The sequence below is a fragment of the Homo sapiens genome, chromosome 15 (assembly GCF_000001405.40).
Source record: "Homo sapiens chromosome 15, GRCh38.p14 Primary Assembly".
NCBI classification, from domain to species: domain Eukaryota; kingdom Metazoa; phylum Chordata; class Mammalia; order Primates; family Hominidae; genus Homo; species Homo sapiens.
Window position 1 is genome coordinate 78,104,515 of NC_000015.10, and position 27,434 is coordinate 78,131,948.

The 27,434-nt window shown below is 51.6% G+C and overlaps 1 protein-coding gene across 8 annotated transcripts, besides 2 other annotated features; it reads right to left on the bottom strand.

Moving 5' to 3' along the window:
• On the bottom strand, window positions 92-27,021 carry CIB2 (calcium and integrin binding family member 2). Of its 8 annotated transcripts, NM_006383.4 has the most exons (6): window positions 26,651-26,931; window positions 19,191-19,225; window positions 6,651-6,762; window positions 4,721-4,868; window positions 1,225-1,420; window positions 92-818 (listed from the first exon to the last, which is right to left on the bottom strand). In NM_006383.4, exons 1-6 carry the CDS (start codon window positions 26,699-26,701, stop codon window positions 797-799), a joined length of 564 nt encoding a protein of 187 aa, NP_006374.1. In that variant the 5' UTR covers window positions 26,702-26,931; the 3' UTR covers window positions 92-796. The 8 variants fall into 8 exon arrangements, 7 of the variants coding, with proteins under 7 accessions (NP_006374.1, NP_001258817.1, NP_001288153.1 ...); NR_125435.2 differs by lacking the exon at window positions 6,651-6,762 and having other exon boundaries at window positions 26,651-27,021; NM_001271888.2 differs by lacking the exon at window positions 19,191-19,225.
• Window positions 8,944-9,033: an enhancer, noted in NCBI's record as "active region_9910". NCBI's record gives its function as "activates an Ori minimal core promoter by ATAC-STARR-seq in GM12878 lymphoblastoid cells {active_cell/tissue: GM12878}" and the evidence as "EXISTENCE:reporter gene assay evidence [ECO:0000049][PMID:35858748]".
• Window positions 26,636-27,155: a silencer, noted in NCBI's record as "silent region_6705". NCBI's record gives its function as "represses an Ori minimal core promoter by ATAC-STARR-seq in GM12878 lymphoblastoid cells {active_cell/tissue: GM12878}" and the evidence as "EXISTENCE:reporter gene assay evidence [ECO:0000049][PMID:35858748]".

The following is a 27,434-nucleotide window of genomic DNA, read 5'->3' on the forward strand; positions in this document are numbered from 1 at the left end:
GAAATCAAAGTTAGTGCCTAAAGCAGGAGGCACTGCCTAATGCCGAGAGGTGAGACACCAATGGTGGGATTTCAAGGATCAGAAGCAAAGGTACCCTCAAACATTTCCTAACATTAGCATACATGGAGAGCAAAGGGATGCAAAAGTGTTTTACTACCAGGAGTTCACAAATCTGTGGACAGCACACCAGTGAGGATTCCACGGTGTTGGGGAGGCAGGCAGGGTGGTACTCATGACCCAGAGGCAGAGACAGGAGCAAGAGCCCTTGGGCCCACTGCACCCACAGCTTCACATTGTGAAGGAGGCCGGGAGAAGGGGAACAGGCAGGGGTGGGAAGCAGCCCAACCTTGGGTTTTGGAAAAAGATTGCATAGCTCGTTAAAACCCTGACCTCTTTTTTTTTTTTCCGCTCTGTCCTGGGTGACCAGGGTGTCTGCCAGCACTTGGACACGTCAGACCCCACCACCTCCTGTTGGGTTATCTGCTTTTCCCTCTTTGGGGGGGTGGGGAGCATTTCTGGAGTAGGAAAGGACTGGGGCATGGGGCGGGGTGCGGAGGGCCTGGAGAGAGGCCATGGGTCCCGGGGCTGGACCACAGCGGGGCTGTGGGAAGGGTCCTAACCTTCACAGGCCCCCTTCCTGGTTAAGGTTTTTTTTTTGCTGAAAGGGCCACAGGATATATTTGTGGTGTAAACCCCAGAGGCTGCCACTGCTTTCCTGGGGAGCTTGGAGGCCACACCCATGTGACTGCAGGGCAGGATGGTGGACTTCTAGGCCCCTACAGCCTCGGCAGTGTCCTCAGATCCGGATGTGGAAAGTGCTAGAAAGAGAGAAAGGGCAAGAGAGGGTGAGAGGCCCTGGGTCGGGCAGGTAAAGGCTCCTCAGGGAAAAGCACAGCAGGCCCCAGCCCCATGCTGGACAGTGCCTCATTAGGGAACCCTGCATAGTGGATGCAGGTAATCAACACTGGGGGAAGACGGAGGAACAGCGGTGCCCAGGGAGTTCTGCCCCCACTTATCACTGAAGGGGCCCCCAGGTCTTCAACCTTCCCCCTGCAGGGGACAAAGGCCAGTCACACGTCTAGGGCAAGGGTGGCTTGAACGTGACCTCCTGCTTCCTGGCCGCACACCACTGCTCACAAATAGCGAGTGATAGGGGCCTCAGCCCCAACATCCCGGCCTGCCCTGCTCTGCCCTGCCCAAGCCCGGCCCCTGTAGTGGCAGCACCTGAGGAAGTCAGGGGCCTTGGCAATCATGTCCTCGAAGTCAGCAAAGCCCAGCTTGCCGTCACCGTCCAAGTCAGCCTCCTCAATGACCTTGTCGCACACAAGCACCACCTCCTCCTCATCCAGCTCTGACTTAGTGAGCCGGGCCAGCGTCAGCTCCAGGTCCTCCTTGCAGATGAAGTTGTCAGTGTTGAAGTCTGTAGGGCAGGGGTTGGACATGTTCAAGTCCAGGCTGCGTGCACCCAGGGACCCCTACACTATAGCTCTTCCTCCTAGCTGGCCCCACTACCTCCACCAGCTTCTGATGTCCCCAGAGCATCTCCATGCACACTCTTGGGATACTGGATCCCTGCCCCCAAGAGGGCTTACCCACCAGGCATCGCTTAAACACCCACATCCACCACCAACAACAACCCCACAATGACTAAACCACATCCTGAAGCAGGTCAAAAGTCCAAATCTGAGGTTTCCTGAGAACTTCAGGCTTAGGCCAGATAGCCCTTCCTGGCCTTAGCCCACAGTGGACCCAGTGTTCCCTTTAGACTTCTAGAGCTAAGGAAACTAAGGCCCAAAAAGGCCATGCGATTGAATCAAGGTGGGAGAGCCACTCGGAGATGGAGCAGGGATTCTGACTAGGGCCTATGGGACTCTAAGACCCATGTTTTCTAAACTGCACCCCGTTGCCTCAGTGGTGTGTGACCAGAAGACACGGTGGGTCAGGAGACTCAAAATCAAAAGACCCTTAGAGAGGGGCCTGTGCCTGGCCTTTGTGCACACAGAGCAGGGAACATGGTTTGATTCTACCCAGCAAAAGGCACTACCACTGCCCCAAAGCACAGCAAAATGGTTCAGAGGACCGAGCCATGCCTGGCCACATCAAAGTGAACTCTCTCTTCTTACATTTTGAGCCCAACTACCAGATCTGCGCATGTGCTGTTTCTTCTGCCTGGGGTCCCTTCCCAGCAAACTCCTGGTCATCCTTCAAATTTTGGCTCACACATCACCTCCCAGTGGCGGGGCTTTCTAGCGATAAGGGTCCTCTTCCCCGCAAATGAGCTTCTGTTGCCCATTGGCAAACTCTGACATTAATGGTAGTGACAAAGACCCATCATGTGAGCATTATATGCTCTTTCTCATTTAATTTTCAAAACAAAACTATGAGGCAGGCACAATTGAATCTCCACTATACACATGAAGAAACAGAGAGGTGGCCAGGCGCGGTGGTTCACGCCTGTAATCCCAGCACTTTGCGAGTCCGAGGTGGGTGGATCACGAGGCCAGGAGATTGAGACCATCCTGGCTAACACGGTGAAACCCCGTCTCTACTAAAAATACAAAAAAAAAAAAATTAGCCGGGCGTGGTGGTGGACGCCTGTAGTCCCAGCTACTCAGGAGGCTGAAGCAGGAGAATGGCGTGAACCCAGGAGGCGGAGCTTGCAGTGAGCTGAGATCGCACCACTGCACTCCAGCCTCGTTGACAGAGCGAGACTCTATCTCAAAAATAAAAAAAGAAACAGGGAGGTGAAAAGGAGAGGTACCTGCCTGAGGTCACATCCCGGTCATTGTTGGACCCTAGAGCCCAAGCTCTTGGGGTGACTCTGCCCTGTCTATCTCTGCAGAGGCCTGGGCACAACTCTAGGGTATGCGTCAGGGAGTATTCATCTCTGCCCATGGCATGGGACATAGCAAATCTCTGGAAAGATTTGCTGGCTGGCTGGCTGAATTCCTGTGGCCATTTAACCTGAGTAAACTGAGGCTCAGAAGTGAGATGATCATTGTTGCAAATGAGGCCCCAGGCCTCCCCAGCGCCAGACTAGGAGGGCCCTGGCTGCCTCTCCCCACTCCACCCCCAGCCTAGAGCAGCAAGGAAGCCACAGTTCTTCCATGTATTCCTGTGCCCACCCGGTCCATGCGATCTGCACGCCCCTGTCTTGGGCAGACAGCAGCCCGTCCCAGGAGCAATGCTATGGGGTCCAAGACCGGGCGGATGTTGGGTGGAATCTGAGAAGCTTTTTACATGAGCCATGTGGGCATAGTTTGTGGAGGGCAGACTGGCAGGTATTTTCTTTCTAATATGCAAGCAAAACGTGGGTGCACAGACAGAAACCAAAGTCCTCTGAAATAAACATGATAACTAGAAAGTGAAACGTCAGTCTGGGCGTGGTGGCTCACACCTGTAATCACAGCACTTTGGGAGGCCAAGGCAGGCAGATCACCTGAGGTCGGGAGTTCGAGACCAGCCTGACCAACATGGTGAAACCCCATCTCTACTAAAATTACAAAAATTAGCCAGGTGTAGTGGCGGGCACCTGTAATCTCAGCTACTCAGGAGGCTGAGGCAGGAGAATCGTTTGAACTTGGGAGGCTGAGGCAAGAGAATCGCTTGAACCCGGGAGGCAGAGGTTGCAGTGAGCCGAGATCACACGATTGCACTCCAGCCTGGGCGACAGTGGGACTCTGTCTCAAAAAAAAAAAAAAAAAAGAAAAGAAAAGAAAAAAGAAAGCAAAATGTCAGCCCCTGATAGGCCCTGCTGCCTTTGGGATCCAGTGTCTGATCAAACGTGCTGAGGACAGGAGCTTTGACCTTGACTCTTCAGGTCCAAGTTGGGTCCCAGCCCCTTCCTAGGCCTTAGGCATCTCAACTGAGGTCTATCTGAGGATTTGACACCAGTCCCCATGGGTCTGTCAGGCCAGCAGAGGGGGTGAGCTCGTGGGTATGAAGTTTTCTCCCTGTGGCTGTGGGAGAAGCATGAGTCCTTGGCTCATGAGTGCCCGCCGCCCTCTGGTGGCTGGTGAGACAGCCAGCCTGAGGGCAGAGCTGGGCGGGGTGAATCCAGGTGGCCCTACCTCAGGCAGTATTCGGGGGGGCTCCAGAGGCCCCCCTGCAGGCCTGGCCTTACCACCATGGCCTAGGCAGCCTCTCTGGCTCCTCCATTTTACACCTCAAAGCTGCTGAGTGATCCTTCTAGAAAACAGAGCTGCCCTTCCTCACTGGAAACCTTGCAGTGGCCCTGGTGTCTGGATCACTAGGTCCAAACTCTGTGGCTGGCTCCCACAGCCTGGCCCCAGATTCTCTCCAGACTCATACCGCCCCCTGTCCCACCACCTTCCAAGTTCCTCCCATCTCCTTATCAAGCTCTGCGCTTCCCTGTGTCTGCATGGGCTGCGCCCTCTGTCAGGTCTGCCAGCCCCCTCTTCTCCAGTCCAAGCCTCTGCTAGTCCCTGCTTAAAGGTCATGCCTGGGACCCCTCTCACACTAACCACCCGACCTGGGATGGGTGAGTCCCTCCCTCCTTCGTTCTCAGGACCCTCACAGATGTCTCTCAGGGACTGATCGTCTCCCTTGGCCACCCCACTGGACAGGCACTCTTCAGAGGACAGATCAGCTTCACTGTTCTTGGTGTCCCTAGGGCAGGAGCCAGTAGTAACCAGACAGCCTAAGGGCCCCACATGTTCCCCCACCGCATATTCAGGCCCCCTCCTCTAGCCCTGGTTACCATAGATCTTGAAGGCATAGTTTGCCTTGAGCTCTCGGGGAGCCGACTCGCAGAGCACGGAAAACATGTCCACAAAGTCGTTGAAAGTGAGGTTCCCCTCACCATCCTCGGAAAACGCCGCCACGATCCTTTCTTTGAAGGGATTCTCCTGAAGAAAACACACACAGCAATCACTGTGGGTGCAGGATAAGCAGGAGGGCCCCGGAGCCAGACTGTGGACAGCCTGTGTGACCCTGGAGGAGTGACCAAATCCCTCTGAGCCTCGGTTTCCCCATCTGTAAAAAGGGAATAATAATAACACCTTCTTAATTGGGTTGTGATGGGATTAAATGAGCTAAAGTATGTAAGGTGTTGGTACCAGGCCCGGCACATGTAAGAGCTCAGGAAGCATTCTACTGGGTCATGTCACATCATTAAGATGGGCACAGCCAGGGACAGTGGTGCACGCCTGTAGTCCCGCTATTTGGGAGACTGAGGTGGAGGAATCACTTGAGCCCAGGAGTTTGAGGCTTCAGTGAGCCATGATCGTCCCACTGCACTCCAGCCTGGGCGACAGAGCAAGACCATGTCTCCAAAAAAAAAAAAAAAAAAAAATGCTGAGCACAGCCAGTGTGTTATCACTGGAGGCACTGCCTCATCTGAAGCAGAAGCAGAAGCACAGATTCGTCCTGTTACCCAGAAGAGCACACAGAGGCTCTGCCTGGATGTGTAGGGCTCTGTCCCCAGCAGAAGAAGATGACAGCCCAGGGCACTGGTGGCCCTCAGCTCAGGCCGTGTCAGGCCAGGATCGTGGGAGGTGGATGTGGGGTCAGATAACTGGACCAGTCAAGCAGCAAGAGCCATACAGCCAGTTCAGGCCCAGGTCTGCTGTCACTCTGCTCCTGTGAATTCTCCCCTAGACCACCTTGGATGCTGCCTCTCCCAGGGAGCTGTACACGGATGCCTTCCTAGATCCCCAAATCACTCATCCTGCAGCCCTTCCATCCCAACTGAGCTAGCGCTTGGCTAGCGCCATTCCGTGCCCAGCCCAGGCCAGTGCGGGAGGCTCAGAGACAGACCACTTGGGTCCTACCCATGAGTGTCTCACCTGCTCCAGCAACCCTCTGAGCTTGCTCTTGAGCCCCTTGCTGGGCCAGACGGGGTGCTGGTCCAGGGCTGAGCCTGGGGCCCATTGTCTCTCAGGACTGAGGTCACAACCAGAGTGCAGGCCCCAAGTGGATGCCATATAGCACTCTGACTCCACCTTCAAGCCACACATCCCAGGCCTGGCAAGGGGCTACTGACGAAGTCCCACTGCAATGGGGAGTTGTGCCCCAAATGCCTTCTTAATGCTGAATGCACTTTACATATTATGGATAAGGAACTCATGAAACGAAACATTCAGATATATATGGTCTGAGGATCAGCAGCATCAGTCTCACCTGGGAACTTGCTCGAAAAGCAGAATCCTGACTCTACTCCACATGTACTGAGCCTGAATTGGCATTTGGACAAGATCCCTGGGGAGTTTAAAATTAAATTTTAACAGGTACGTTAAAGTCTGAGAAATGATGCTATGGATGACCACCATGCTGACCTCAGTGAGAAGCCACAGCCAGACAACGGGGAGACAGAAAAGTTATCTAACAAAGCAGACACAGGTCTGCCAACTACAGCAGGCTTGGGGCCACTTAACAAAGGGACAAGCAAATGAGCACAAGCCCATGGCCTGCAGTTGGGTGGCCACTGATGTACAGCACCCTTACAGAGCCCACATAGCTTATTTATTCAGAGTACAGATGAGGAAACTGAGGCACAGAGAGGTTCTGTGATCTGCTCAGAGCCACGCAGACACAAAGGGTGGAGCTGGGTTCAGCCTAGACCTGGGGGCCTCTGCTGCTGGTCCAGAGGCACAGATCCCCTGCTCGCCAGCAAGAGGTCCTGCACATACCCGGAGCTCTGGCATCTGGATGATGAGGCTCATGGGCACGTGGACGATGGGGCTCTTCCTGTAGTCCATTGGGACGAGGTTGGGGGCCAGCTCATAGAATCGCGAATGCAGCCTTGGAGGAAAGCAGAGAAAAAGCGCTGGAGGGGGTGCCATCCCTAAGCCCCAGCAGCCCGGTGCTGTCCTGCCTAGGCCTCTGCCTCTGCAGAACATCCTCAGCCAGGACCAGGTAAGGGGCCAATGGGAGGCTCTCTGCTCTGCCCACAGGGTGTGAAGTTGGGAGGGAGGTGAGTTCTGCCCAGACCTCTGTGCTGATAACCAGGTTGTGTCCAGGCCTCCCTATTTCCACCACACCCACCCCATCAGCACCACCACCATCACTCCTTGGGCCTGGGTCCAAATCTTTTAATTTTTTCTCCTTTGGGCTCTCATAAGGGTTTTCTATGCTCAGGATACTGTGCTAAGCACTTAACACATCACCTAATTTAATCCTCCTCCACATCACTGTGCAGACAGATGCATCCTGACCCCAGCTTACTGCTCAGCAAACAGGGCTGAAGAGGTTAAGAGTGATTTGTCTAAGGCCACATAACTAGGGAGCATCAAGGGCCATGGGTTGAGCCCAAGATGGGAAATCCAAGCAGAAACTCTTAGCCACTCTTCCCCCTTACACTCCTGAGGGTCCATCAAAGCCTGGGCCCACTTCGTGGCCCCACCACCCCAACTTAAGCCCTGAGGGTTGGGTCTCTCTGGGAGAGCTCTCAGCAGTCCTCACACCCTCAGGAAGCCCCTATGAATGGGTCACCCATAAACTCTCTAACTGGGGGCCATCGGGACCCAGGCTGCTACCCTGGTGGGCCTGGCCCTCCCTCCTCACTGATGGGTCAGGTCCCTAGCTCCTGTCCCAGCCTCCAGGAAATCAAGCCCACCTCAACAAGCTGCATGGACCCTCAAAGGTGTAAGGCATCCTGGCACTGTCTCACTTGGAAGCTCCCTTCCTCCCCGCCCCCTGCCCATTATTCAGTCTTTCTTTGCCCTATGTCCACTTGTCCAGGTCCCTGTCATCCCAGAGAATAGCCCCCCATCCCAAGACAGGTACAAATTGTATTTAGATGACATTGTGAGCTGCATGTGGTGGCCTATGCCTGTAAACCCAGTGTTTTGGGAGGCTGAGGTGGGAGGACCACTTGAGGCCCAGAGTTTGAGACCAGCCTAGGCAACACAGCAAGACCCTGTCTCTACAAAAATGAAAAAAAAATTAGCTGGATATCGTGGCTCAGTCATAGCTACTTGGGAGGCTGAGGCTGGAGGATCACTTGAGCTTGAGCCCAGGAGTTGGAGGCTGCAGTGAGCTATGATTGCCCCACTGCATTCCAGCCTGGGCAACAGAGCGAGACCCTGCCTCTAAAAACAAAAATTGTGTCCATTAAGTGCTGCCATGGGTGGGACAAGTGTAAGGGGCATTGACTGTGGGCTGAGGTAGGTAACCTGCCTAAAGTGATGTCCTAGGCTGCTGGTGAATGGATTAGGTATGACCCTGTATCTCCCAGGCTTGGGCCGGCCCTGCCACCCCCAAAGCCAGATCAGCCCAGGTCTCCTTTTAAGTGGCTTGACCCTGTGACACACCCCAGGCCCACCTTTATCAAGCCATTCAGCACAGCCACCCAACCTTCCTTGGGTTCTACCAGTTCTTGTGGTCCTGCTGCCTACTGTCCTTAGCAAGGCACCTGACTACTTACCCAGCTCAAACAGATAATAACACCAGCTATCGTTTAGCAAGTGCTTACTCTGTGCCAGGCCCTGAACTAATCTTCTCTGTGGATTGCTTTACTTATTTTAATCCCCAAATCACCCTGAGAGGTAGATATTAGTCTCCCATTTTCAGGTAGGGAAAACTGAGGCTCAAGAATCAAGTGTCTTCCCCATCCTACACAGCCAATGAGCAGTGGGAACAGGACTTGAACCCAGGACCTCTGGACACCAACCACTTGGCTCCTCCCTGCAAGTCAAGCCCTGGTAAGCACATCATCTGCTGGTTCAGAGCCTGTCCAGGGCAAATGAACAGTAAAATGCCACATGCCCACTTTGCCAGTCGCACATTCCTATAAAAGGGTCTGAAATTACAAGGATGTGCCATGACTTGGAGACAGAGCAGGAGGGGAAAACCCCTAAACTTGTACTTTGGGTGGGAGGAGGCTCAGCAAATGCCAGGGCGGTGGGATCAAGCTGAGACTCTCCACAAGAGGGCACTCAAGGACTTTCTTTGCTCCTATTTCTTGCATAGAGGAAAACTACTTTTTTTTTTTTACACTGTCCCCAAATAAGGAACAACCACTTGTTTCAAAATTCATGCATCTTCTTTCTTTCTTTCTTTCTTTTTTTTTTTTGAGACGGAGTCTCGCTCTGTCGCCCAGGCTAGAGTACAGTGGCGCGATCTCGGCTCACTGCAAGCTCCGCCTCCCGGGTTCAGGCCATTCTCCTGCCTCAGCCTCCTGAGTAGCTGGGACTACAGGCGCCTGCCACAATGCCCGGCACATTTTTTGTACTTTTAGTAGAGATGGGGTTTCACCGTGTTAGCCAGGATGGTCTCAATCTCCTGACCTCATGATCCGCCCACCTCGGCCTCCCAAAGTGCTGGGATTACAAGGCATCTTCTTTCATAATTCATGCATCTGGTACTTTGACATATCCATTGTGCTTCCAACTGCTACATTTCCCACTTGACCTTGACCCCACCTCATATGTGGCAGTGTGATGTTGGAGTGTTTCTAGGGGTTGGCCTACACCTCTGAAGTTTTGTGGGATGGCTGCAGCAGGAGCATGAAGTCAGGCTGAGGTTGGAGCCCTGCCTACACCTCTCATTAGCAGTGTGGGTAAGTGGGTTAATCCACTGAAGGATAAGTTTCTCTATCAGTAAAGCAGGGGCTATTCTACTGTTCTCACCCCTGGATGTTCATAAAACCACTGGCCTTCAACTGGCAGCTTTTAGCATGCTGCCTGCCACGTCAGAGGCTCCCTGGAAGGGGTGGACTAGGGAGAGAGGCTATGGGTGCTTGGCAGGGTTGAGGAGGTATCCTCTGGGGTGGGAAGGCCAGCTTCTACCCTGGGACACAGATCTGTTCTAAAACAGTAACTAAAATCACATTGGAATTTTTCTTTAAAGAAAAATCCAAGGAGAATTTGAAAACCCAAATCACTGTGAAAGAAACTCTAAGCATTGTCAAAGAACCACATCTCTGTCACCTCTCCCCCAATAAAGGGCACTGAATTCAAGAAGAGTTATATATTAGTCCTACTGTAACATCCAGGACCAGAAACCATACTTACGCTACTTGAACTGCCCCCGAGTATGAGGCAAGAAATGTGAAAACTCTCACTTTATTTTACAAAGTTAACAAGAACCCTGATACAAGAACCTAATATGTAGCATCCAGAATGGACCAATGGCACTTGCATAGATAGATGAAAAAGTCTTATAAAATAACATACTGGGGGCCAGGCACAGTGGCTCATGACTGTAATCTAAATGTGCTTTGGGAGGCCAAAGTGAGAGAATTGCATGAGGCCAGGAGCTTGAGACCAGCCTGAGCAATGTAGTGAGACCATGTCTCTACAAAAAAAAAAAAAAAATTAAAAATTAGGTGGATGTGGTGATATGCATCAGTAGTCCTAGCTACTCAGGAGGCTAAAGTAGGAGGATCTCTAGCCTGGGCAACAGAGTGAGACCCTGTCTCTAAAAAAAAAAAAGATAAGTAAAGAAAGAAAAAAATAGCATACTGGTAAATCAAATCTAAGACTTTAAAAGAATAATATGTTAGGATCATGTAGGATTTATTCCAGAATGCAAAGATAGTTCAATATTTGGAAATCTGTGGCTACAAATCATATTAAGCAAAAAACATTTTGACCAATTTGATAGATGCATTTATGACTGTATATGTGAATACAGAAAAATATCTGAGAAGTTATATACTACATGTTTACACTGATAGTCCCTGGGAGGTGGGAGTAGAGAAATGTGAAAAGAAGGAGGCTAACTTTTACTTGTTATTTCACCTACTTCTCAATTATTTGAAATTTTAGAAGTAATTATTTATTTATTTATTTATTTTTTGAGACAGAGTCTCGCTCTTTCGCCCAGGCTGGAGTGCAGTGGCGCAATCTTGGCTCACTGCAACCTCTGCCTCCAGGGTTCAAGTGATTTTCTCATGCCTCGGCCTCCCAAGTAGCTGGAATTACAGGGGCATGCGACCACACTCGGCTGATTTTTTTATATTTTTAGTAGAGATGGGGTTTCGTCATGCTGGCCAGGCTGGTCTCGAACTCCTGACCTCAAGTGATCCACCACATCATCCTCTCAAAGTGCTGAGATTACAAGCATGAGCCACCGCACCTGGTCAAAAGTATTTTAAAGTATATGTTGTTTTGTCAATTAAAAAAACTTAAAATTCTTAGTAAAACAGAAACAAAAGGAGTTTCTGCTTAGGAGCAGAAACAAAAGGGTATCTCCTTCTCTTTTTTTTTTTTTTTTTTTTTTTTTGAGTCTTGCACTGTCACCCAGGCTGGAGTGCAGTGGCTCAATCTCAGCTCACTGCAGCCTCCGCCTCCTGGGTTCAAGCAATTTTCCTGCCTCAACCTCCTGAGTAGCTGGGACTACAGGCGCCCGCCACCACACCCGGCTAATTTTTGTATATACTGGGGATATACCCATCAATGTGGGATGCCTATAATCACCATTATTATATAACATTTCTCCCCAGGAGCACTAATCAATGTACTATTCGCCATCCAGGTCCATGAGTTCTGCATATGTGAGTCAACTGAAGACAGAAAATATTTGGAAAAAAAAAATTGCATCTACGCTAAACATGTATAGATTTTTTTTCTTGTCATTATTCCTTAAACAATACAGTATAGCAACTCTTTACACAGCATTTACATTGTATTAGGTGTTATAAGTAATGTAGTAATGATTTAAAGTATACAGGAGGTGCCGATTTAAAGTATATAGGAGGGGCTGGGCACGGTGGCTTACACCTGCAATCTCAGCACTTTGGGAGGCCGAGGCGAGCCAATCACTTGAGCCTAGGAGTTTTGAGACCAGCGTGGGCAAAACAGTGTCACCCTTGTCTCTACAAAAAATATATATATATAAATTAGTCAGGCATGGTGGTATGTGCCTATAGTCCCAGCTACTTGGGAGGCAGAGGTGGGAGGACCACTTGAGCCCAGGAGTTTGAGGCTGCAGTGAGCCATGATCGCACCACTGCACTCCAGACTGGGCGACAGAGATCCTGCCTGACAAAAAAAAAAAAAAATTATACAGAAGGATGTGCAAAGTGGATAAGGTTATATGCAAATAATATGCCATTTTATATAGGGACTTAAGCATTTGCAGTTTTTGGTATCCTTGGGAGGTCCTAGAACCTATCCCCCACAGATACTGAGAGAGGAATGTAATTAGTTAAGACAGTAAAATAGTACACTTAAATACTGGAGAGGAGGCAAGTTACCATTTACTGGAAAACCAAAAATAATTAGCTTAAAGACTATTTGAAATAGAAAGAGTTCAGAAGCCTTTCTACACAATAGTTTTTCTATTATGTATTAACATTAGCCTTTTCAAAAGTAGGATTTGGCTGAGTGCAGTGGCTCATGCCTGTAATCCCAGTGCTTTGGGAGGCCAAGGGGAAAGGATTGCTTGAGGCCAGGAGTTTGAGACCAGCCTGGGCAACACAGTGAGACTGTTTCTATAATTTTTTTTAATTAAAAAAAATGAATTCACAATTTAAAAGAACCAAAAAAAAAAACACAACTAAGTATAAAATTGGTATAAAATGTACTAATTTTGAAGTATCAAAAAAACCATGAAAGTTTAACAAAAGATATAAAAATATTTTAGGTACTTAGATAACTATTGTGCATTCCTGATCGGAAAGACTTAATGCTGTAATGATGACGATGATCTGTTCATTTTTCTATAAAATGAATATGACCCTAATCAAAACCTGCAAATGATCTATTTGGGATCTAGCCAGCCCAATTCAAAAGTGTGTTTGGTTAAGTGTTTCTTCAAGCTACTGGCAAAAAAAAAAAAAAAAAAAAAAAAAAAAAGTTTGTTTAAAAGAATAAATGTAGGAGTGTTGCAGGGGAACCCTGAAAAAAAAGAGAAACTGGGGAAACATTTTTCCCTATCAGGTATTAAAACAGTTTAAAGCTATAATAAGGACAATGTATGAAACAGACATTGGCATTTACAAGGCAGACTAGTAGAAGTGGTAGATCCCAATGTAAATGAGAATGAGCCCATGACACAGCATTTGAAATCAATGGGGAAAAGATTAATTCCTCTGAAAGTCACAAACCAGCAATCCACCATTCATGCCTAGTTTCCATATAGCATTTTAAAATAATTAAATTACGTCGAAATAATAAATTTAGAATTTTGCTGCCACCATATACAGATTGAAAGATCTTACACTATAAACCTGGGTTTCTTAATCAAGATGGTCTGAATTCCCCCAAGGCAACAACTAGCTGGGGCTAAGGAGCAGCTATTTCTGCAGGTGTCCGTTCTAAAGAGTTCCCACCCGACTAGACAGCTTCATTTATTTACAGTGCATGCTGGCCCCCCTGACAGGCAGCTGAGCTTCAGACTCTTGGGTTATTCACTGAATGATCTGGGGTCAGAAGACAAAAAGCATATAACAGCAGTGGGAGGAAAAAGCAAAAGTCTTAAAAATATCCATTATCTTTGATCAGGAAATTTGTTGGAAATACCCATATATGTGCAGTTATGTGAATGGTACCACAAGAATATTCACTGAAGTACAAATTAAAATCGTGAAAAGCTGGAAATCTAAATGTTCAACTATACAAATTAAGAAATATCCATTAAATGCAGCCATTTAAAATATTGTATCAGAATATCTAATGATATTGAAAGTTGTTCGCAAGATGTTAAATGAAAAAAGCAGAAGGTACAGTATAATCCCATTTTTTTTAAAAAAGCTTGTATATATTTATATACTCACAAAAAGAAAGACTAAGAGGAAGGCTGGTCACTAAAATGTTAGTGATTATCTTGGGTAGTAGGGGGACAGTAAGATCTTTTTTCTTATCTTTTTTTAACTTTAAAAATTGTGATAAATGGCTGGGCAGTGGCTCACGCCTGTAATCCCAGCACTTTGGAAGCCCAAGGCGGGCAGATCATGAGGTCAGGAGTTTGAGACCAGCCTGACCAACATGGTGAAACCCGTCTCTACTAAAATACAAAAAACAGCCTGGCCTGGTGGCGCGTGCCTATAACCCCAGCTACTCAGGAGGCTGAGGCAGGAGAATTGCTTGAACCCAGGAGGCAGAGGTTGCAGTGAGCCGAGATCGCGCCATTGCACTCCAGCCTGGGTGACAGAGCCAGACTCCGTCTCAAAAAAAAAAAAAAAAAAATTGTGATAAAATAACAGAAAATTTACCATCTTAATTATTAGTTTTTCTAAATTGTGGTAAAATGCACATGCCATAAAGTGTACCATCTTAACCATTTTGATGGGTACAGTTCAGTGGCATATTAAATATGTTCACATTATTATGCAACCATCACCACCACTGATCCACCTCCAGAACTCTCTCCATCTTCCAAAACTGAAACTCTGTACTAATCAATAAGTTCCCATTCCCCCTCCTCCCAGCCCCTGGCAACCACTATTCTACTTTCTGTTTCTAAGAATTTGACTACTTGGCTAGGCCTGGTGGCTCATGCCTGTAATCCTAGCACTTTGGGAGGCAGAAGCGGGTGGATCATTTGAGGTCAGGAGTTCGAGATCAGCTTGGCCAACAAGGTGAACCCCATCTCTACTAAAAATACAAAAATTAGCCGAGCGTGTTGGTACACGCCTGTAATCCCAGCTAATTGGGTGGCTGAGGCAGGAGAATTGCTTGAACCTGGGAGGCAGAGATTGCAGCGAGACACAGACTTTAAAAAAAAAAAAAAAAGAATTTGACTACTCTAGGTACCTCATGTAAGTGGAATCGTATATGTCATTTTGTGACTGCTTATTTCACTGTGCATAATGTCCTTAAGGTCCATCCATGTTGTAGCATGGGTCAGACTCTCCTTCCTTTTGCAGGTTGAATAGTGTTTTATTGTCTGTCTATACCGTGTTTGGTTCATCTATTCATTTGCTGATGGATTGCTTCCACCTTTTGTGAATAATGCTGCTATGATTGTGGGTGTACAAACATCTCAAGACTCTGCTTTCAATTCTTTTGGGTATATACCCAGAAGTAGAATTGCTGGATCATGTGGTGATTTTATTTGTAAGTGTTTGAGGATCCATCATACTGTTTTCTTTAGCTTTCTTATCTACTTTTACAATTTGCCTAAGGAAAAGCAATTTTAAGCATATATATACTTTTTTTTTTTTGAGATGGAGTCTCGCTTTGTAGCCCAGGCTGGAGTGAAGTGGCATGATCTCGGCTCACTGCAACCTCCGCCTCCTGGGTCCCGGTTCAAGCAATTCTCCTGCCTCAGCCTCCTGAGTAGCTGGGACTACAGGAACACACCACCATGCCCAGCTAATTTTTGTATTTTCAGTAGAGTTGGGGTTTCACCATGTTGGCCAGGCTGGTCTTGAACTCCTGACCTCATGATCCACCCGCCTCAGCCTCCCAAAGTGCTGAGATTAAAGGAGTGAGCCACTGCGCCTGGCCAATTTTAAGCATATTACAAAACAATACCATCTGCCTTTTTTTTTTTTTGAGTCAGAGTCTTGCTCTGTTGCCCAGGCTGGTGTGCAGTGGTGCAATCTCAACTCACTGCGGTCTCAACCTCCTGGGCTCCAGCACTTCTCCCACCTCAGCCTCCCAAGGAGCTGGGACTACAGGCACACACCACCAGACCTGGCTAATTTCTGTATTTTTTTTTTAGAGACAGGGGTCTCACCATGTTGGCCAGACTGGTCACAAACCCCTGAGTTCATGTAATCCACCGGCCTCGGCCTCTCAAAGTGCTAGGATTACAGGTGTGAGCCAACGTACCCGACCACAATCTGACTTTTTGATAAACACATACAAAAGAAAAACACTGGCATAATATATACCAAAAGATTAACAGCCTTATTTCTGGGTCATAGGCTTACAGGTAATTTTTTTTGTCTTCTCTTGACTGGCTTCATTTTCTAATTTTTCTACAATCATTATGTATATGTGTAGTAAGTAATTAAAATAGGTTACACAAAGTTTTTAAAAGGTTGAGAAAATAAACAATAAAATAACAAGTAGGCAAATACCTTGGAGTGCTGGCTGGGTGGGCCTCTCTGTGTACCAAGGGGACAAGGACTACTGTCCCGCTGATTAAAGAGCACAGCCTAATTAGGGCACAAGGGAAGTTGAAGTGCTAAGCTCTTACCTATAAAAAGCAAGGTGACTGAATAGGGTGGGCTGCCCACTCGGCCTCAATGTGGGAATGCAGGAGCTGTGTCCTGGGGAGCAATCGGATCTACCTGGGTGGGGGCAGGGCAGAGGGAAGGAGAATTGGAGGCGGGCTATCTGTGACTCGGTATCACTGCCCCAAAGTTGCCACAGAGCTGGGCCCCAACCTGCAAAGAAAAACCTCCTGCTCAAGTTTCCTCCTAGCCATCTGGTCAGTACGCAGGGAGCAGCTTACCAAGAAAACCATCCTGGTGGGGGTGGGGAGTAGCATCCCTGAAAGGCCCTTGGGAGCAGGGAAGATGAGCATGGCCTGGGGCTGGATAGCCTGGCTCTGCAGCTGACTTTGCCCTCTCTGGGCTCCAGGCCTCAGTTTTGTCACCCGGACCTGAGATGTGAACAGTGGAGAGGGCTCTCCTGGAGGGGCAGTCAGTCATGCTGGCCTCTCCACAGAGAAGGCTGGAGAAAAGCGAAGGGGGGTGAAACTGGAATTGAGCCATCATGGCCATGCCTGTTCCCTCTAGGGACAGGCAATCCCGAATCTGTCTTGTCTTAACTACCCTTCCCTGAGGGTGGACAGGTGGGCAGCAAACTCCAGGTAGCTCTTTTCATGTTTAATAACACCATCACCCAGCCCTCCCAGACACAGGGGCCTGTGAGAAAACAGCTCCTGCAAGCAATGTCATCCCCATGCTGCAGACGGGGCCTCAGGCTTGGGTTTTGCTCTGGTGTTGAATTACAGAGCCTAGGGTCCTGATGCGTGCAGAGGGGTGCAGGCCAGGGCTGTGGGGAGCCAGGACGCCTCTCCTCAAGCCCTCTCACCTGCCTGGAGCCCCTCATTTTCCAAGGGGCCAGGGATACCCCTGATATGGTTTGGCTGTGTCCCTACCCAAATCTCATCTTGAATTGTAGTTCCCATAATCCCTACGTGTCATGGGAGGGACCTGGTGGGAGGTAATTGAATCATGGGGGCAGTTACCCCGAGGCTGTTCTCATGATAGTGAGTTCTCACGAGATCTGATGGTTTTATAAGGGGCTTCTCCCCCTTTGCCCAGCACTTCTCTTTCCTGCCGCCATGTGAGGAAGGATGTGTTTGCCTCCCCTTCTGCCATGATTGTAAGTTTCCTGAGGCCTCCCCAGCCATGTGGAGCCATGAATCAATTAAACCTCTTTCCTTTATAAATTACCCAGTCTCAGGCAGTTCTTTATAGCAGCATGAGAATGGACTAAAACAACCACCAAAGGCCCATCATATTGGATCGGATTCCCGGACTGGCCTTCAAGCTCCTCTCTCCTCTTCCCCACACAGGCAATCTTGCTGCTGTCAATGAGACCACGGGAGGATGGGGGTGGGAGTGGGAGCAGGAGAAGCTGGCCTGTGTCTCACCTCTGCTGCTCCCCAGCCTGGAATGTTCTCCCTCAGCCAATCCTACCTGTCTTTCACCCACACACTCTTCATATGGTCACTGGTGGCTAACAGGTGCCATGCTCCCTGTTAGTCCTGCCTGATCACAAGTCTGGTGGGGAGCTGGGCCCCTGGGTCCAGGAACCCAAGGAGCCCCTAACAGGCTGTTAGAGCAGCTGGGATAGCACTAGGGTGGCAGGGTGTTGGGGGTGCTTATAAAGGAGATGATTCTGGAGTTGGGTCTGGAAGGATGCATAGCAATGCTGTGGGCAGAGGAGAGGCGAAGGACACTCCAGGGAGTGGAGATAGCCAGTGCAAAGGCCGAGGCAAGGGGCTTTTGTTGCCAGAATGAAAATGGCCGTGGGCCTCAGAAGACAGGCAGCTTGGGCTTGGCATCTACAAAGGTAGGGAACCCGAAGCTCCCTGTGAGGCTCAAATGAGGCTCCATGCCAAGAACTCTGAAAGGTAAAAGGTGCCACAAGAATGCCAGGGGTGACAGCTTTGTTATTCCAATACCGAGAGCCATCCTGTCGAAATGGGGACCTCACCCCTGACATCTCTCAAGCTACAGGGCAAATCCCACTTATCAAACACTATACCCCAGTGTTGCTGCCTCTCGGCAATGCTATGAGGGTAGGTTTCACTATCCCTATTATACAGAAGAAAACTGAGGCTCAGGGAAGGTCAAATGGTTGCCCAAGGCCACAGATGCCAGGTCTACTGATGCCAGGCCTGGAGGCTTTGCCCCTTGCTCAGACTCTCTAAGGTGGTGGAAGTGGGGTATCCCCTGCCCATGCAGGTGACAGGTTGGAATAGCAGCCTGGGTAGAGAGGAAAGCCGAGAGGCACTGCCTGAATGAGCAGAATGGTTAGGGCAGTGACAAGCTGCAGCACAGCTCTCTTGGGAAGCTGCAATGGGCTCTGGTCCCAGCCTGACCATCGATCTCCAGGGCAAGTGATCCTGGGACTTTGCTGGCTTTTAGTGCCACCCAGGCAGAGGGGCCTAGTGAGGCCCGTGGGGCAGTTTTCTTGGTATTCAGTGATTCCTGCTCACCCACTGGTCCTGGGGTTCTGAGGCTGCCGATCCCCTTTATCTTTCCCATCCAGGTCCACCCCCACCCCCATCAACACCAAGGAGAAGGGCTGTCCTGGGAAGAAGCAGAGCCCTGATGAATAGCTCAGGGGTGGTGGCCATGCCCTCAACTTTTAGACGTCCTAGGAGTGGAAGAACATCAAAGCTAGAGCCAAAGGGCCCTTAGGGACCCCTGGTCTAACAGACAGGGACTCCCTGCTATACCAGGACCCAGGATGCAGTGAAATAGCAAGGGACCTGGAGTCAGAGGCTGGGTCTTGAGTCCCTGGCTCTGTGACTTTAGCCAAGTTGCTAAGCTCCATCTGTCAAATGGGGATAAATGGATTCTCTTGTTACAAGGTCACAATGAGGATTAAATAAGAATGTGCCGGAAACTACCCACCTGAAAGCTCATAGTAAGTAGATGTTCATTCCCCAGCAGGAGGATCTGGGCCCTGGGAGGAGTGGGAAGCTCTAACTCCATCCTAGCCCAGTGGCCGAGTGGGGACCTGAATGTGGCTCCTGATACATGCTGATGCTCTGCCTCAGCCCCAGGAGCACAGCCAGCCCATGTGGGGTGCCCCAGCCTCACCCCGGCCCCAGTCCCAGTCCCAACAGGGTGAACGAGAAGCCACACTTACTTGAGGATGTCCTTCTTATTGAAGAAGGTGCAGTCCTGTTGAGGGAAAACACACAACACACAGTCAGTGTGCGGCTCCCAGACTTTCTTCCTCAGAGGCCTCGATGCCACAGGGCTCACAGGGGATAGCTCCGGACTGGGGACAGAAGAGTCACTACTATCCCTTTCCACCTTGCCCTCACCCACTGGGGACAGCTGGCTCTAGTAGGTATAGAAAATGCCTCCCAAAACCTTTATCCATCCTGGGCTAGGCCTAAGGAGCTTAGTGCATGGTGGGGGGCTGTAGCATGCTTTAGGGTACACATGTAGGAGGAAGATGAATGCTCACAGGTATGCGTGGCTGATTTGAGTGCCAGTGGGATACACTGGGGGATGACAGGGAGGTGGCTGGGAGACAACTCCGAATGAGGACCCACAGGGCCACCTCGTGTAGCTGCATGGGGTGCCATCCTCACTGTAGCCCTGAGCATGGTGCTAGGGGGGTTGTGCAGTCCCAGGCTCAGAGACTGAGAGTTCCAGGCACATAGACTGGGGAAGCATCAGTATATACTTGGTGTCTGAAGCCAGAAAGGGATGAGGTCACCCAGAGAAGGGAGTGAAGAGGCCAGGGAGATATGGGAGGGAGAAACGTGGGCAGGGGGAACCAGGTAGCATCTGGGGTAGAGGTGAGGGTAGGGGCTGCTGGGGATCCCCAGGTAAGCATTACTCCAGGTGGGGGGCAGCACTTGGCTCCTAGGGCCATCCAGATGACAAACTCATCTCGGAGGGGTCCTGTCTTTGTTTAGATGAACTGCCTCTATCCACAGCTTGGCCTGCCCAAGGTGAGTATCAACCACTGGGAGTCAGTGACAATGGCCACTATGCCAGCCCTTGGTGAAAAGTATAGAGGTGAAGAGGACCCAGCACTTTGTAAAATGCCCAACCGTAAAGGGCTTTTGTGCACCTCCCCTGCTGTTTAGCTCCTCCGCCTTTGTCCACTGTTACAGCATGAAGCAAGAAGGCCTCCTAGGTCTGCAGAGCCCAGAGCCCATAGGGCCTCCTGGGGCCATAAGCTGACCAGAGCCAGCTCTGATGAGGAGTGAATGGCTGAAACTCAGGCCTGCAAACAGCCAGGCTTGCCCTGAATGAGACCTGAAGCCGCTGGACATCAGGGCAATTGGATTGCGTGTTAAGAGGCCCAAAGAGAGGACGCCTGCAGGATGCACACAACATCTGGGGTTTCCACTGGGTGCCTTCGGGAGAGCTGAAAAGGGGAGAGCTGGTGGGAATTTCCAGGCCCCATTTGGCCCAACAAGTCTGTCCTTCTAAGCTGCTGCTCCCTGGGAGTTAGACTAAGGATCCATGCTGGCTTCTTGGAAACACGAGGGGTTCTCCTGGGGGTCTCAGCTTTGCTTTTGACAGTGGTTCCTCTGTAGGAGCCCAGAAAGGCTCAGGCTGGGGAAGCAGTGCCCCCTGCTCCTCACCCAACACAGACAGAAAACTCCCTACTTAGCAGGCCTCAGGCACAGACAGGCTGGAGACACAGTGGGCTGATTTATCAGCAAACTCCAGAAACATGGTGCAGAATGTGGACTTCCCTCCACCCCAGGGCCGTTTCCATGGTCTAAGGTGCCCAGTGAGAAGGGCCAGGGCTCTCCCACCTAGCCTGGAGGAGGCAGTCAGCAGAACTGGAAATGGGGAGAGGTCCCAACTCCTGCTCTCTTCCCCCCGATCTGTCCTCCTTCCCCTCCCCTCTTCTCTCTCCTATCCCATGTGTTGGAAAGGAACTATCCAGGTCCTGATTCAAGGGTTCTCCTGACAAAAGATGCAAACACTTCCCCTATAACCCTGCTCCCTGTCACAATTACTTACACCTCCCTACATCAATGGTCCTCACGCTGTGGCTCCTGGACCAGCAGCATCAGCCTCACTGGGAACTTGGTGAAAATGTAGATTCTTAGGCTCCACTCCAGATCTCTTGAATCAGAAACTCTGTGGGTGGGGTCCAGGGATCTGCACTTTAAAAAACCCTCCCAATGATGCTGATGCATGTTGAAGTGTGAGGAAGTCTGCTCTAGAGCAGAATCACTTGGGGGACTGTTTAGGATACCTGTGTCCCCCATCCCTCAGCAGACCCCAGACAAATTGTAGAGAAATCCCCAAGGATGGATCCAGGCATTGGCTGTTTTCAAAGCCACTCAGGTGGTCCCAACGTGCAACCCAGGCTGAAAACCACATCACAACCAGTACATGATGTACCATGCACCTGGCACCTGGGGCTCTAAATATCCAATTTTTCTTAATCCTTATCATTAGCCAATGGGGGTGGGCATTATCTCTCTATCTTAAAGATGGGCAACTTGAGACTCAGCAAAGTTGAGTAGCTTGCCTTAAGTTGCACACACAGCCCAGGAGGGCTGGGAATGGAACTTAGGCCTCTGTGCTTCCCTTTCCCCTGCCCCCCCCCCTTTTTTTTTTGAGACGGAGTCTTGCTCTGTCACCCAGGCTGGAGTACAGTGGCATGATCTCAGCTCACTGCAACCTCCGCCTCCTGGGTTCAAGTGATTCTCCTGTCTCAGCCTTCCAAGTAGCTGGGATTACAGGCATGCGCCACCATGCCTGGCTAATTTTTGTATTCTTAGTATAGAGATGGGGTTTCACCATATTGGTCAGGCTGGTCTCGAACTCCTGACCTCAGGTGTTCACCCAACTAGGCTTCCCAAAGTGCCGGGATTATAGGCATGAGCTACCACGCATAGCCTTCTTTTTTTCTTTTTAATGGGAGTAGACCTTGGGGCCCTCACTGGCAAGGAAGCAGAGGCAAGAAAAGATCCTCTGTGCTTCTTGGCCACTGCCTATGACTACAAACAGAGCCATGACCACTGTACACCAGCCACTCCATGTCCTGCGTCTGCTGTGTATTCCTATACTTATACACAGCAGGTGCTTAATACAGGCTTGTGGGATGAGTGACCAGACTTTTCCATCTATGCCTTCCACAGCAGTTACGTTATTTCAGTGGCTGCAGAGTCCCTGCCTAGTCTTAATCTTTCTTCTCTTTCTGAACATTTAGTAACACCTATTTCTTGGTTTTAACATCACTGACAAAACTGCCATGAACCTGCTCATCAACTGATGTTTCACTTTTTCTTCTGTTCACTTGTTTCCCTGGGACTCACCCCAAGGAGGCAGTGCACAGGTAGTGAATATGGCAGGTGTTCTTAAAAGCTTCTCAGGGCTCAGGGTGGCCTAGAAGTGTGGCAGGGGAAAAGGTTTGGTAGTCAGGGTCAAATTCTAGTCTAGCTTCAGACCCTTAGGCAAGTCATTCTCCTTTCTGAGCCTCAGTTTCTGCATCTGTAAAGTGGAAATAGGCCTCTCTGAAGGGGACAGTGTGAAGAGCAAATGAGATAAGGTACAGGAAGTCTATAGGCCCCAGCTGATAGGAAAGAGTACAACAGCTCCATCCACCACCCAGGTCCCAAAGGCATCTCCCCAGAGTCGGTAGCTCTGCTGTCTTTCCCTTCTCTGGAGTCACCAAACACCCTGCCCACCACTACACCCTCAGCTGCCCTGGGAGCTACAGCCCTATGTCTGAAGGAACCCTTTCTTACACTTTTGGAGAGCAAGTGCCCCATCACTGCTTGGTTCCTGACAGTACACAGGGACACAGGGACAGGTCTTCCGGCAAAGGTCAGGTCTGGGTCATGAGGAGTGGAAGGGAGGGAAGGAGAGAGGGGGCCTAACCCAGGAGTGATGGGCTCTCAGAACATTGGCAGCAGAAAACAGGACAGGCTGGGCTTTTACAGTAGAAGCCCAGACGTTTTCCCAGTTAAGGCTTGAGTTCTGCCTCCGAGCCTATATTCACCCTATTCCCCAACTGGAGTGCCCTCTCCTCTTTCTCCAGGTTGTCCAAACCCTTTCTCCAAAGCTCAACTCAAGGGTGACTTGTTCCAGGTAACCCACCTGCCTCCCATCTCCTACATGCCTGGTCTGCCTGTGCCAGCTGTCAGGAGCCGAGCCATGGGCCCTCCCAGCTCTAATGGAAATGGCTCTCCATCCAGCTCTGCCAGCTCAGGCCTCAGCACTGCCCAGGGGACCATCACACGGCTCAAGGTCAGTCTCCAGTGATCTTAGTTGATCCCCACAAGAACCCTGTGACATGAGCACAGCTGGGTTAGTAGTTCCCATTTTAGAGGTGGAGACACTTAGGCCCAGAAGGGAACAGTGGCTTGCTAAGGCCCACAGCATCAACTACCCAGCTGACTTGAATCTAGGGCTTCAGAATCTTTGTCTAGAGTTCTTTGCTCTCCTGGAGCCACGCCTTAACAAATATTTGTTCATTCATTTGACAACATCCTCCAAACATCTCTTTTGTGCCTGGACAGAGGCCATACAAGAAGGAAGCTGGAGTGTAAACAGTGAGGTGCCCAGTATAAACCATTCTGTGGCCACACAAGGGACTGGGGATGTATATGTGTCAGGCTCCCTGAGTACTCCCAGCTGAATGGATTGGTGGAGAGAGAGTCAGGGAGCCCGTCCCAAAGAGGTGAGGCCTGGCCTGGACAGAAAGATGGGCCAGACTAGGTTAGCAAAGGAGCAGGGAGAGCAGCAGGAGAACAAGGGCCAGAGGTGAGGGAGGGCTTGGCTAGAAGCCCTTCAGTGTGCCTAAAACTTTGGGTGCAAAGGGAAAGGGAGTAAGAAATGAGGCTGGAGGCCCGGCGCGGTGGCTCACACCTGTAATCCCAACACTCTGGGAGGCCAAGGCAGGTGGATCACCTGAGGTCAGGAGTTTGAGACCAGCCTGGCCAACATGGCAAAACCCTGTTTTTACTAAAAATACAAAAATTAGATGGGCATGGTGGTGGGTGCCTGTAATCCCAGCTACTTGGGAGGCTGAGGCAGGGAAAATTGCTTGAACCTGGGAGGCGGAGCTGGGATGCGGAGGTTGCAGTGAGCCGAGATCACACCACTGCACTCCAGCCTGGGTGACAGGGCGAGCGAGACTCCGTCTCAAAAAAAAAAAAAAGGAAGAGAAAGAAAGAGATGAAGGAAGAGTGAGAGAACTAAGAGGGCGGGTGGCTGGAGGGGGATGGGCAGGAGGGGCGCAGGAGGGAGCAGTCAGACCTCCAGTTTGCAGGAGACTGAGCAGGCCTAGCCCAGGGCCCTGGCTGTCGTGATGGAGGAGGGGACCTCCAGGTGACCCACAAAAGAGGCTGAGTCACAGGCCTTGTTCTTAACTGAAAACATGGGCTGAGGGAGAGCAGAGAGTTGAAATGGCTGGAGGAGCAGCAGTGGGTGTTGGAGAGGCTGTGACCCCTGTTTTGGAGTTTGAGGGGTCTGGGGGATGGCCGTACAATGCAGAGGAGTGTTCTGGACAGAAGCTTAAATGTTGGGAATCACCGGCACCGGGAACCAAGAGGGTGCACCCTGCCCAGGAAAGGTTAGACTACCAGGCTGGGAGGTCCCAAGAAACCCTAGGTGTCACTTAGGGGAGAGGGTGCTGTAACTCAGGCTCACCCCCACTCAGCCCGGGCTGGCAATGGCTGGCTGGAGAGCCAGAGGGTAGGAGATGTGGGGCTCTCAGGTTTCACAGCTCTCATTTCTCCCACCCCGCCTGGCAGGGTCTAGCTAGGCTCTGGCAAAGAATCAGAACATAACACTGGGACTGGCTCCGATGAGTAACCCAATGCCAGGCTGGTTGGAGTGGGAACCTGGGCTCCCCACCCCCATGAAGCTACTCCTCACTTCTGAGCATGGCTTGCCTGCTTGCCCCTGCCCACTCCCAAGCCTTTATCCACGCTGTCCCCTCCACCTGGAATGCCTCCTCTGGGCCCCACTGGGCAAAACCCGACCTATCTTCCCAAGGCCTGCTCAAGTGCTGTATCGTTTCTGGACTTTGTCCCCCTTCCCTGCTGGCCTCCCACTGCCCACTAGTGCCCTTCCCTAGAACACACTCCACCACCTGCCTCTATCACAAGGGCCACACACTGGAGGTGAGAGTCTGTCTCTGAGTGTCTGAGACTGAGTGCCTTGGGAACAAAAAGCACACATGGCCCAGCCCAGCCCACTCCCAACTAAAGAAGTGAGCCTAGGAGTCAAGATTCGAAATCCTGTGTGAGCCCTGAATGGCTCCTCAGCCTCTGTTTACACGTCTGTAAAATGGGCTAATAATCCACCTCACTGTGATGATCAAGTGAGTTGATGCGTAGAGGGCATCAATTACTGTGCCTGGTACACAGCAGGTGCTCCATAAATGCGTCTCCCCTCTTCCTTCCCAGGGCCTCACCTGGGGAGCTGAGAAATCCATTACTGACAACTAGGGCTTCTAGGAGGAGAAGGGGCCTTTGTTTTACCTTCACCCACATCAGAGGACCCACACTTCACACCTGCTTTCCTTCACAGCCAAAGTAAGCACTGATGAAGGCAACAAGTGCCTATGGAGACCCTGTTGGTGTTCCTCCTGCCCAGTTACACAGGCCACAACACAATCCTGCCCCCTCCGCCTGGGGAGTCAGGGGAGAGGCATCAGATGTGGGACTTGAAGGGTGAAAGAGATCCTCTGGAGGGGGGAAAGGCATCCAGGCCCAGGAAATGGCATGGGCAGAGGGAGAGAGGGAGGGAGGAATGAGCCTGGTGAGCTGGAGCAACTGCAAATGGTTTTAAGGCGGCTGCCATGCAGAGGGCAGGGAAGGGACCTGGGGAGACTGAGGCTGCAGAGATAAGCTGAGCAATTGGCCAGGGCTCCGGGTAAGCCAAGGGGTTGGGCTTCATCCTGCAACCACAGCGAAGTTTTTACCTGGGTGGGACGGTATTGGGATTCCAGATCTGGAAAGCTGGCTCTGGAGGCAGGAAAACCTAGAAAGGTCTAAGGAGGTGGCTACTGAGGGCCTAAGGGAGCTGGGAGAGGTGGCCCTGGAAGGCTGCTACCGGGCTTGCGTTCTTGCTCCAGTTATCTCCATGCTGGGGTCAGAAGGAGCGAACCCCAGCCGATAAACAAGACAGTCCCAAGGGAAGACTGCATGTGGGGACTGATGCACCCCACTCCTAGACCAGACAGGACGCCAGCTCTCATTTCTGCTTTACAGAGACTCGCTCTCCTGGGCTCCTTCCTGGGGCTGGGGGGCAGGGAGCGGGGAGGGCGGTCCTCCGTCCAGCCTAGTTTACTGACTCCCTCTCCGGGCCAGATGGGCGCTGGAATGGGTGGCTGGAGAGGGGTTCGGGTCCTGCCTAGGGCGAGAGTAGCTGGAGAGAGGCGCGCCTGAGAGGTTCTTCCAACTGGAAAGAGCTCTTATTCCACCGGTGGGGAAACTGAGGCACGGCGAGGGGAAGTCACCGGCCCAAGGTCACGCGTCGAGCTGAAGGCAGAGGCAGGGTTTGAACCTGGGAGAGCTGGCTCTCGGGAGGCCTCGGCCAGCGACCGAGAAAAGGGAGGGGCGGCGGGGCGGCGGGGCCTGTGTTGGGGGCCGGGCGCGCCGAGCTCACCTGGTAGTTGTCTAGCTGCTCTTCGGTGAAGATGGTCTGCTTGTTCCCCATGGTGGCCGCCGCGCCGCCGCTCGCCCGCCCGGGCTCCGACTCCCATCAGCGGCCGCCAGACCCGGAGCCAGCGCCCCGTGCCCGCGGCCCTCGGCAGCCCCGCGGCTGGCAGCGGCCCACGGTGGCCGGACCCTTCCCGCCCCGCAGCTCGCCTGGAGGAGGCGCGCGGGGGTCTCGGAGGCGGGGACGGGAACCCGGAGCGGCAGCGACTCCGCCGCCGGCGGGAAGAGGGCGGGGCACCCGGCTCCGCGGCTGCAGCGCGCCCGGGTCCCGGCAGGAGGCGACCTGGCCCCGGGAGACGCTGCCCGGCACGAACCCTTGGCTCCCGCGGCCGGAAGTGCTGGGGGCGCGCGGGGGTCTCGGAGGCGGGGACAAAGACCCGGAGCGGCGGCGACTCCGCCCCGCAGCAGGAAGAGGTGTGAGCCCGGGTCCCGCCGTGGGAGTCCAGGTCGCACGGCGTGAGGGTGCGGGGCCTGGGAAAAAACCCTCTCGAGGCGGGCAGTGGGGCGAGTGGCGCCCCTTGACCTGGGGCGGGGGCGGCAGCGAGGACTGTGAGTGCGTGGATCTAGCTGGGGCCGGGCTCCGCCACCGTCTCGCGTCGCGACCTTGGTCAAGCCCTTACCCGGGCCCTGTCCCTCTGGGGAGAAGGAGGGGGTCAGTCAAGCTGACATCTGAGGCCCTCCCGGCCAGGCCTCGGGAAGCCCATCTGGCCTTTGGGCGCGGCCTAGGCAGG

Bases quoted from the DNA above. Each gene is read 5' to 3' on its own strand.
- CIB2 (XM_005254126.4), bottom strand. From the start codon at position 26,701: ATGGGGAACAAGCAGACCATCTTCACCGAAGAGCAGCTAGACAACTAC. The intron at 6,763-19,190 runs GTAAGTGTGGCT...CTTTCCTCCAAG, and splicing joins AATAAGAAGGACATCCTCAA to GCTGCATTCGCGATTCTATG. The intron at 1,421-4,720 runs GTAACCAGGGCT...CCTGCCCTACAG, and splicing joins CTATGCCTTCAAGATCTATG to ACTTCAACACTGACAACTTC.